General features: G+C 47.2%; 1 annotated feature.

The window, feature by feature from the left end:
* Window positions 8,147-8,196: a silencer, noted in NCBI's record as "silent region_15055". NCBI's record gives its function as "represses an Ori minimal core promoter by ATAC-STARR-seq in GM12878 lymphoblastoid cells {active_cell/tissue: GM12878}" and the evidence as "EXISTENCE:reporter gene assay evidence [ECO:0000049][PMID:35858748]".

Genomic DNA, 11,908 nt, shown 5'->3' with positions numbered 1-11,908 from the left:
CTGAGGTCGGGAGTTTGAGACCAGCCTGACCAACATGAAGAAACCCCATCTCTACTAAAAATACAAAAATTAGCCGGGTGTGGTGGCAGGTGTCTGTAATCCCAGCTACTCGGGAGGCTGATGTAGGAGAATCACTTGAACCGGGAGGCGGAGGTTGTGTTGAGCCAAGATTGCGCCATTGCATTCCAGCCTGGGCAACAAGAGTGAAATTCCATCTCAAAAACAAACAAATAAATAAATATATTGATTAAAACAATGAAGTACAGGGATAGATACCAAGGGTAGGAAAAGAGGCCAAGAGCAGGTATAGGAGTCCACACTCAGAAAGTCATTTCTCACCTACTTAAGCAGCTTTGTGGAGAACCTATTATGCTAAGCTCCCTATAGAGCTCCCTATAGAGATCAATAAGGCATAATCCCTACTCCCTATATATGCTAAGCTCCCTATAGAGCTCCCTATAGAGATCAATAAGACATAATCCCTACTCCCTATAGGGACCACTGCACTCCAGCCTGGGTGACAAGAGTAAGACTCCACGAAAAAAAGCGCTTGGCTGGGTGCGGTGGCTCACGCCTGTAATCCCAGCACTTTGGGAGGCCAAGGCGGGTGGATCATGAGGTCAGGAGTTCGAGACCATCCTGGCCAACATGGTGAAACCCCGTCTCTACTAAAACACAAAAAATTAGCCGGGCGTGGTGGTGCATGCCTGTAGTCCCAGCTACTCGGGAGGCTGAGGCAGTGGAATCGCTTGAACCCAGGAGGCAGAGGTTGCAGTGAGCCAAGATCACGCCACTGCACTCCAGCCTGGGTGACAGAGCAGGAGTCCGTCTCAAAAAAACAAAACAAAACAAAACAAAAAAAGCACTAGCGCTTACGATTTGACTCGGGTAACCATAGCACTTCTCAGACTATGGGTGCGTACGAATCACCTGGAGGATCTTGTTCAAATGCAGATTCGGATTCATTGGGTGCAAGGTGGGGCCTGAGAGTCTGCATTTCTAGCAAATTCTCAGCTGATGCCAATGTTGTTGGTCCATGGACCTCAACGGAGCCGAATGATCTACCCAAAGTTCATTTCTCTTATTTCTTGACCACAGAAGCCTGAATGTACCTAGTCACAGGGGATGACCCATGACTGGTCGAAATTAATCATGCAATCCTATTCCCCTTGTCAATGATTAGTCTTGGTTGGTGGGCCCATGACTTGGCACTGGCCAATTAATTATACATAAGGAAATCTCTACTGGGTGCTCCACAGTAAGGATTTTCCGTCTACAAAAAGATACACTCATGAATAAAAGGTGCTTTCCCCCACTGCCTTTCTTCCTTCTTGGACGCTGAGGTGTGAGGATGTGATGCTTGAGGCTGCAGCCACCATCTGGTTGCCATGAGGCAAGACACACCCAGCACACTAAGGATAATAGAAGGGAAAGGTCCTAGGTCCTTGAAGAACTAACCCTAATGGGGCCACTGCCAGATGGCCGAGAGAGGATTATTATTCTTTTTTAAGATGGAGTCTCACTCTGTTGCCAGGCTGGAGTGCAGTGGCACGATCTCAGCTCACCGCAAGCTCCACCTCCCGGGTTCAAGCGATTCTCCTGCCTCAGCCTCCCGAGTAGCTGGGACTACAGGCATGCACCACCACACCTGGCTAATTTTTGTATTTTTAGTAGAGACGGGGTTTCACCATGTTGGCCGGGCTAGTCTCGAACTCCTGACCTCACGTGATCTGCCTGCCTCGGCCTCCCAAAGTGCTGGGATTACAGGCGTGAGCCACTGCACCCAGCCCTGAGAGATAATTAAATGTCTCTATTGCTTAAGCCACTGTTAGTGAGGTGGTCTGTTACTTGCAGCTGAACACATCCAAACGAATAAAATGGTGGATCTGAAATCACGGTGATCAGCATGAGATCCAGTGGAAGCACAAATGATGGATAACTTGCTTTACCAGGACAGACCATAAAAGGCTCCTTGGAAAACCCTTCTCCAAGTGTAACCGCCCAAGGGGTTCACCTTGCCCACTGTCTAGACAGAGCTGATTTATCAAGACAGAGCAGTTACAATAGAGAAAGAGAAATTCACTCAGAGCCGGCTGTGCAGGAGACCGGAGTTTTATTATTACTCAAATAAGTCTCCTGGAAAACTTGGGATCAGAGTTTTTAAGGATAATTTGGTGGGTAGGGGGCCCGTGAATCGGAATGCTGACTGGTTGGCTAGGGGGTGAAATCACAGGGAGTCACCGTCCAGGCGTGGTGGCTCACACCTGTAATCCTAGCACTTTGGGAGGCCGAGGCGGGCAGATCACCTGAGGTCAGGAGTTCAAGACCAGCCTGGCCAACATGGTGAAACCCCATCTCTACTAAAAATACAAAAATTAGCTGGGCATGGTGGTGTGTGCCTGTAGTCCCAGCTACTCAGGAGGATGAGGCAGGAGAATCGCTTGAACCCGGGAGGCAGAGGTTGCAGTGAGCCGAGATTGTGCCACTGCACTCCAGCCTGGGCGACAGAGGGAGACTCCATGTCAAAAAAAAAAAAAAAAAAAAATCACAGGGAATGGAAACTGTTCTCTTCTGCTGAGTCAGCTCCTGGAGTGAAGTTACCTTCAAGACTCACTGTGGAAGCTGCAAATCCTATGGCCTCTGGAATAATGGCTGGGAATATTTAGAATTCCAGCCGCTCTCATCTGGACTTGCTGGCTGGTGGCCTTTCATTTGTTTTAAAAGAACAGTTTAGCCTTCTAGGAAGGGCTCTTCCATAAACCATACACTAAATCCCTTCCCAAAGAGAGTTCAGCTTACACCCAGGAATGACGAAGGACAGTTTCGAGGTTAGAAGAAAGATGAGGTCAGATAGGTCTGGTCTCGTTCACTGTCGTAATTTTCTGTTACGGTTTTTGCAAAGGCAGTTTCACAAGGAGGGTCTTGAGGGATGAGTCAGCGTTTACTGGTCAAGCAAGGGAGGACGGGCACCCCAGGCAGTGGGCCGGCTCGCAGGGAAGCCCAGGGGGAAGAAGGAAAATGCGGTTAGAGAGGCCGCTCAGGCTGGGGGGCGAGGAGGCCTCTGGGGATGTCCGCAGAACACGTGGGGCTTGGGAGCCTGGTAAGAAGTGTGGACTCGGAGGGGTGGTGGGCAGCAGGGAGATGGTGAGGGAGTCTAGCAAGGGGCTAGAAGTAGGAACTGGAAGAAGTCAAGCAGGTTATAAAATATCAAGGTGCTTGGGCCACATGAGGAAAGATGAGTGCTGGGAACAAGTTGAAGGGACCCAGAACCACCGAGAGGAAGCCCAGATCTCTGTCAACACTCGTTCATCCACGAAGTTCTCACCTGCATTTGGGCCTTCACTGGGCGCTCCTTGCTTTGCTAGAACCAGTCACCCTTCGGCATGAAAATCATGCAGAAAATTGGCAGCTGTTGGGGAAACCCTGACAAAGATCAAGACCCCCTCAACAAGAACGCACCACGTCCAGCACTTCGGAGCATCTAGCCAGACCTTTCATGGTACAGATGGGGAAACTGAGGCCCCGAGAAGGGCTATAAGCCGATCAGGCCACACAGCAAACTGGAGACAGAGCAGCACTGGAACCTTCTTATTCTGATCCTTGAACCAGCGATCAGCCCCACCACCACGAGTTCCTCCCGTGACCACACACGGCCATGGATCAAACAACAAACGAGAGGTTAACACGGCCCCGTTTCCCCACAAACTCAGACAAGACAGATCAACAACGTTTGAAGCACATGAATACAACCTGTGCCCCAGAGTGAGGAAGTTCAAGATAAAATTCCTGAAGCCCATACTGATTATTTTAAACACTGTTTCAGAATTCCTAAGAAACTAAGCTTCTATTAAAATACAAACAAGTTTTGAAGTCGTTTGACGATAAAAGATATTTTCTGGGCCAAGCCTGGTGAGGGGGAAGGCTTACAGTATTTTGAAACAAACTTTGGAGAGCTCATCATAGTTTGAAAAGATTCTGATAATAGATCACAGACATGTTTGTCTCAGCCCGGCCGAGACAACACACTCCATCCTGAGTCTTGCGCAACTGCTCACATTCTACAGCCCCAGTGTACAGAAGTACCGGGATCTGTCAAGACCCACAACTCCAGAGCCAGGTGGCCTGGGTTCAAATCCCAGCTTGCTACTCACCAGCCTAGGTGAGTCTCCTGACCTCTCTGTGCTTGGTTTTCTCATCTGTAAATAGGATAATATTAGTCACCTGTTCTTGGGGCGGATTTGAAGATTAAATGAGTTCATGTAAAGGGTGTAGAGCGGTGGTTGTGCTTTCTTGGTGTTCGCTATCATTATTTGTTCCATGAATCTTGATGGGGAGAAATATTCCAGCTGCATCCGGCCTGACTGGTCCTCCTTAGTTACTGACCACTTACCTATGAGTAGATGACTTGCCGCTAAGTATGGTGGCCCTAACTGTTGACTGGGACACGGAGGCTGCACCTGAGGCCCCACCCCAAAACCACTGAGGCAGAGTCCGTATTTTAACACGATTCCAAGGGGACTCAGGCACATACTGAAGCTGGAGGAGCACTGGACGAGGCTGCTGAAATGGGCACTGAAGGCCTCTCCAAGTGGAGGGGCCTTGGCCTCTTTGCAGCCAGGACCCCCATGGCCCTCCTGCCTGCTGGAGAGATGGGGCCACCCTGACTCCTGCCCCTTCGATGTCTGGATGCCACTTCCATGGCGCTATCTTCCGTGTAGGTCTGGTGGGTAGGGGGACATGGGAGACCCTGGCCTGGCCTTACGTTTACCTGGAACAGGGCGTTGGTCGTGTATCTTCCGTGGAGCCTCAAGTTTTGCTCTCCGGTTTTGCTTGGGAGCTGCTTTTACAAATCCTTGTGGCATGTAGAGCTAAAGGCAGTTTCCCCAAAAGCCACCCAAAGGCCAGCTCACCCTACTGCAGAGACGGTCATGGGCTGGCTGTGGGGATGACTGATCTTCGGAGCCAGGTTCTGAGAAGTTGGGGTCATCTAAAAACCCTCAGCAAAACACGGGATTAGCCACTCATTCATTCTCCACAGTAACTTATTTTTATTTTTAGAGACGTGGTCTCGCTATATTGCCCAGGCTGATCTCAAACTCCTGGACGCAAGCATTGCTCCTGCCATGGCATCCTGAGTAGCTGGGATTACAGGGCTGCACCACCCCACTCAGCTCAGTAGCCTTTTTTTTTTTTTTTTTTTTTTTGTGATAGAGTGTGAGGATAATTCTTCAGGTCCTACTTTGGTCACCTGGCAGAAAGATAAATAAAGATCTAAGGTAAAGAGACATGTTAATCCTGAGAATGATGTTGCAATACATTTTCCTGATACAGTAAATTCTTCCCTTGGCTTAGAAGGCAATGCTTGTGTGGCTTAAAGACTGGAAGAGTGGCAGAATTTTAGCAGTGGCTCACAGGAAGGCAGTTATTATACCAGCCGATGATTCTGCGGGTCAGCTTCCTTTCATGACACTTCCTGCAGAAGGCCTGCAGTTATTTGCCATGTGGGTTTGGGGAAACTAGGGTGCCCCCTTCTTGATCTTCGGTCTGGCTTCCTGTCAGCTGTCCGCATGGGAGATGCAGCCTGGATGTTCCTTTTCTCTTGCACGTGTCCAGCCCTTATTCTTCCCGGGCGCCTGCCTGGGCTGGGAGCCAAGGGGTCAGTTAGGGTGGAAGAGGACGAGAGAGGGGGGCTATTTCTTGGCTTTCACCTCTGGGTCTCCCTTAGTCCCTGAGGAAGCCCCATGCCAACCTACAGGCTGGGGGACCCAGCGTGGCCCCCACTTCTGGGTTCTGCTCTCTAGCCCTTGACTGTGAGAGGGCGACAAGGTGGATACGGCGTGTGCCCCATCCCTCCTAGGACACAAGGTGGATGCGGCGTCTGCCCCCATCCCTGGGACTCATGCCTGGCCGCTGGCTCTGTGGGGTACTAGGACTGCGTGGCCTGTGTCCTTCGGGTCGGAGCTGCTTCGCCCAAATCTTATCTACAGTAAGTCCACATTCCCTCAGTGTTTTGAAGAGGAACCAAACCTCCTGGCCCTAAGCGCTCCTGACACAAACAAATCCTCAAAGTGTCTTAGAATGAAATGGACGTGGACATTATGCTTTTGGAATAAAAAACTAAGACACAAAATTCAATAAGAACGGGTGAACAGGGCTGTCTCTGCTCATCCCATGAAGGTTTAAATATTTTATTTTATTTTTGAGATGGAATCTCACTCTGCCACCCAGGCTGGAGTGCAGTGGTGTGATCTTGGCCGCCTCCTGGGTTCGTGATTCTCCTGCCTCAACCTCCCGAGTAGCTGGGATTACAGATGCACCCCACCATGCCCAGCCAATTTTTGGATTTTTAGTAGAGACAGGTTTTCACCATGTTAGCCAGGCTGGTCTCGAACTCCTGACCTCAGGTGATCTGCCTGCCTCGGCCTCCTAAAGTGCTGGGATTACAGCCGTGAGCCACCACGCCTGGCCCATGAAGGTTTTTTGCTCTAGCCTCCATGGGCACCAAGCACTGGGCCTGTTATGAAAAGCTTCCTAGCTCCACCGTCCCAGCAGGGAGGGGCATTGGGTTCAGTCCTTCCATGGAGAAGGGCCCGTGGAGCCCCCAGCATCTGACCTGGACCCGCTTGATGGAATCCAGCCTCCTTCTAATCATTCTTTTTGTTGTTGTTCAGTCCCTTCCTTTTTATTTTTGTATTTTGTATCTTACTTAACATCCATAAATGTAATTGTGATAAAATAGACAATTTGGCACAGTGGCTCACACCTGTAATCCCAGCAGTCTGGGAGGCTAAGGCGGACGGATCACGAGGTCAGGAGTTCAAGACCAGCCTGGCCAATATGGTGAAACTGCATCTCTACTAAAAATACAAAAATTAGCTGGGTATGGTGGTGCATGCCTGTAATCCCAGCTACTCGGGAGGCTGAGGCAGAAGAATTGCTTGAACCCGGGAGGCGGAGGTTGCAGTGAGCTGAGATTGTGCCACTGCACTCCAGCCTGGGCAACAGAGAAAGACTCCATCTCAAAAAAAAAAAAAAAAAAAGGGCCGGCACAGTGGCTCACAGCTGTAATCCCAGCACTTTGGGAGGACGAGACGGGTGGATCACCTGAGGTCTGGAGTTCAAGACCAGTCTTGCCAACATGGTGAAACCCCATCTCTACTGAAAATACAAAAAAATTAGCCGGTCGTGGTGGCAGGTGCCTGTAATCCCAGCTACCTGGGAGGCTGAGGCAAGAGAATTGCTTGAACTTGTGGGGCAGAGGTTGCAGTGAGCCGAGATCACGCCATTGCGCTCCAGCCTGGGCAACAGGAGCGAAACTCCGTCTCAAAAAAAAAAAAAAAAAAAAAGACAATTTACGAATGAGCCAATAATTTGGGGGAATTTATCTCATGAGCTAAACCTATTCAGAGTAAGAGTTCCTGGTTTCAGTGCACCTGAGTTAGGGCCAAGTTGGTTTCTCCTATTAAAAAATGTAAATTGGCCCAGCATGGTGGCTCATGCCTGTAATCTCAGCACTCTGCGAGGCTGACATGGAACAGTCAGCCTGAGCAACATGGTAAGACCTCATCTCTACTAAAACCCAAAGAAACAAACAAATTAGCTGGGCATCACACCTGTAGTCCCAGCTACTTGAGAGGCTGAGGCAAGAGGATCACTGGAGCCCCGGAGGTTGAGGCTGCAGTGAGCAGTGATCTTGCCACTGTACTCCAGCCTAGGTGACAGAAAGAGAACCTGTCTCAAAAAAATTAATTAATGAAGAAAATAAAAATGTAAGTCGGCTATCCATCTCTGAATATCTTTGCTGACGAGAGAGGAAAGTGTCTTAGTTGAGATGGTTTCTCCTCCCAAAGGTCCACCCCCAGAATCCTATGGATTCCCTGAGGCTGAGCCCTGCTGGATATGTGTGGGAGACTCAGTTTGGAGTCAGCTACTGCCTCAGGGACAGAAAGAGGGAGGAACAGGAGAAACAGTGTGGGCATTCTTGCCTTCATCACCAAGGCCCCTTAACTTCTGCCACATGGTCTGGAACAATCCTGTCTAGGTCATGGAGGACTTAAGGAGCTGAGTTTGATTCCCACTCGGCTCTGACACGATTATTTATTTATAGTTCCAACCATTCACCATTGGTTGAGCTCTTGCCATGCGCCAGACCCTGGGCAAGGTATTTTAGACACACTGTGGTTTATAGCTCCGAGAGCCTTATGAGGAAGGAGCTATTATTATGCCCATGTGTAACACCACAAAACAGGTTGGAGACAGTCAGTAACTTTGTTGCAGCATTAATTTCCCGCCTCAACTTAGCCACACTAGCTCCACACGCTTTGTCTGTCTTGGGTGCTGGTTTTTGTTTTCAGAATAGTGTATATAACACACATAAATGGTTTAAAGAATTAGAACATATTTTGTATGCAAATAATTTTTTGATTATGTATGTTAAAATGTTTGTAGCTTGATTTTTGCTTTCTTTATGGAATCTTTTAATAAATATCAATTCTGAGTTTTAATAGAATAAAATTTATCAATAATTTTCTTGTATGGCTTGCACATTTTATGTCTGATTTTGAAAATCACTTCCAGCCAGGCATGGTGGCTCACAACTGTAATCCCAGCATTTTGCGAGGCCGAGGTCCATCTCTACTTAAAAACAAAAACAGGGCCGGGCGCGGTGGCTCACACCTGTAATCCCAGCACTTTGGGAGGGTGAGGGATCATGAGGCAGGGAGATCACAAGGTCAGGAGACCATCGAGACCAGCCTGGCCAACATGGTGAAACCCCGTCTCTACTAAAAATACAAAAAATTAGCTGGGTGTAGTGGTGGGTGCCTGTAATCCCAGCTACTCGGGAGGCTGAGGCAGGAGAATCGCTTAAACCCACAAGGCAGAGGTTGCAGTGAGCCAAGATCACGCCACTGCACTCCAGCCTGGGTGACAGAGCAAGACTCTGTCTCAAAACACAAACAAACAAAAACACAAAAAACTGGAGTCTCTGAGCCTACTCTGGCTCAGGAGGCTGCCAACAAAAAAAAAAAAAAGTGGGGGGTGGGAAAGGAAAAAATCATTTACTATCCCAACGTAATAAGATACTTTTCTATTTAGTTTTTTTCTAAAAGGCTTATAATTTGGACTTTCCCATTCACATCGTTAAATCTCCTGGCATTTTATTTTTATGTTTGAGGTGATATAGGGAAGATGCTTGTGATATCTATTATACTCAGTTATGGGCAATGTTTGTACTCTCTAAACTCACTCAGGTACTACACAAACAAAGCTTACTTCCTTCAATTCAATTGTGTAAGGTTTTATTTAGTATCTGTTGTGGGATTATCTAGAAGCAGGGTAGGCCCTGTATAAGGAAAAAAAATAAAATTATGGATTGCTAAAGTTTTGAATCATTAATTAGGAAGGTAATGTGAAGGGGACAATCACATATTTTCTGGCATCCTGATCTATCGTATTTACATAGAAAGAGAGGCGTATATAGGTTCTGGGGCTGATTTATTGTTTTCACATAGAAAGAGAGGCGCATATAGGTTCTGGGGCTGATTTATTGTTTTCACATAGAAAGAGATGCGTATATACGTTCTCTGGCTGATTTATTGTTTTCACAGAGAAAGAGAGGCATATATAGGTTCTCTGGCTGATTTATTGTTTTCACAGAGAAAGAGAGGCATATATAGGTTCTGGGGCTGATTTATTGTTTTCACAGAGAAAGAGAGGCGTATATAGGTTCTTTGGCTGATTTATCGTTTTCACATAGAGAGGTGTATATAGGTTCTGTGACTGATTTATTGTTCTCACATAGAAAGAGAGGCATATATAGGTTCTGTGGCTGATTTATTGTTCTCATATCGAAAGAGAGGCGTATATAGGTTCTCTGGCTGATTTATTGTTTTCACATAGAAAGAGAGGTGTGTATAGGTTCTGGGGCTGATTTATTGTTTTCACATAGAAAGAGAGGCGTATATAGGTTCTCTGGCTGATTTATTGTTTTCACATAGAAAGAGAGGCGTGTATAGGTTCTGGGGCTGATTTATTGTTTTCACATAGAAAGAGAGGCGTATATAGGTTCTGGGGCTGATTCATTGTTTTCACAGAGAAAGACAAGTGTATATAGGTTCTGGGGCTGATTTATTGTTTTCACATAGAGAGGCGTATAGAGGTTCTGGGGCTGATCTGTTTTCACAGAGAAAGACAGTTGTATATAGGTTCTGTGGGCCTTTGGGGGTTCCCATTCTCACTTCCTTTCTTATGAGTGTGGTGAGCATTGGGGTGTGGGGGTGAGTCTCAGGTTTTTGTTTACATTCAAATATGTTACTTTTCTTTTGCTGCAGAGATATGCTATGGTCCAGAAATTTTTCTTAAGATCCTTCAATGATCCTCTACTTTTTCACAAGTAGAGATGGGTGTTTCAGAACAAGTACGGTACTGTGTGGCTAGTTGCTTCTACCACTGCTGTGAGCATGGTCAAAATTAACCAGGCCATGCTTGGGTCACGTCAAACAATGGGCTTACCATAAGCCTCCCATCGTCACTCTTAAAAAACACTCCAAGCCGATAGCCCGTCATGTTTGAATTTGTAAAGGCAACTAACTTGGGAAGTTCTTTCTCATCCAATGTGAAAAATTCCTTTTCTTCTTAAATCACTATTGCGTATGTTTCAGCAGAGGTTTTTTTGTTGTTGTTGTTGTTGATAACCTATAAATACATACGGAGGCTTCTAAAAGGCCTTTGTGGTCCCTGGGGAGCCATACTCTTAATGCAACAAAAATAGCACTTAAAAAATACATACATATATATATATATAATTATTACATGTAAAAAATAGAAAAGGGAACAAAAATTAGTTGGCATGGTGGCATGCACCTGTAATCCCAGCTACTCAGGAGGCTGAAGCAGGAGAATTACTCGAACCTGGGAGGTGGAGGTTGCAGTGAGCCAAGATCGCACCATTGCACTCCAACCTGGGTGACAGAGCGAGACTGTCTCAAAAAATAAAATAAAAAATAAAAAAGGGAAAAAAAGGAACGTGTCCTCATGCCTCTTTCCAGTCAATTCCTGCTGCTCCCAGTACCCACCTCCTCAGCAAAAGGCAACCACTTTGCAGCTTGCACTTTTTTTTAAGGCAGAGTCTCTCTCTCAGTGGCAAGAACACAGCTTATTGCAGCCTCAACCTCGTGGGCTCAAGTGATCCACCTGCCTTGGCCTTCAGCTAGCTGCAGCTATCCTTCTTCAAAAGGACTCAATGGACCTCGGTTTGTGTATCCATACATGATGAGGAGGGATGAGATGGCCTGCAAAGATCCTGCTTTAGGAAGCTCTGATGCTCAAGGGGCCCACGTGGGCAAATAAATATAATGATGTGCATAAACCTAAACATATTTTTATAAATAACCAACCAATAGTTCATGGTGGGTAGCTCCAGTAAACAAAAAAGAAAAAAAGAAAAGAACCACGCAAGGGTACTGAGGGAGAGGCACCACAGACCAATAAATCCTTGCAAAAGAACAGCTGCTTTGGGCAGGCGCAGAGGCTCACGTCTGTAATCTCAGCAATTTGGGAGGCCAAGGTGGGCTGATCAGTTGAGCCTGGGACTTCAAGACCAGCCTGGGAAACATGGTAAAATCCTGTCTCTACAAAATATAAATTAGCAGGGTGGGTGTGATGGTGTGTGCCTGTAGTCCCAGCTATTCGGGAGGCTGAGGTGGGAGGATGGCTTGAGCCCAGATGTCGAGGCTCCCAAGTTCACGCCACTGCACTCCAGCCTGGGTGAGTGAGACCCTGTCTCAAAAAGAAAAAAGAAAAAAGAAAAGACACTTCTTTTTTTTTTTTTGAGACAGTCTCGCTCTGTTGCCCAGGCTGGAGTGCAGTAGCGCAATCTCGGCTTACTGCAAGCTCTGCCTCCCGGGTT

The sequence above is a fragment of the Homo sapiens genome, chromosome 3 (assembly GCF_000001405.40).
Source record: "Homo sapiens chromosome 3, GRCh38.p14 Primary Assembly".
NCBI lineage: Eukaryota > Metazoa > Chordata > Mammalia > Primates > Hominidae > Homo > Homo sapiens.
Note: the sequence above shows the minus strand (reverse complement) of the source record. Positions and strands in the feature narration are given on the sequence as shown.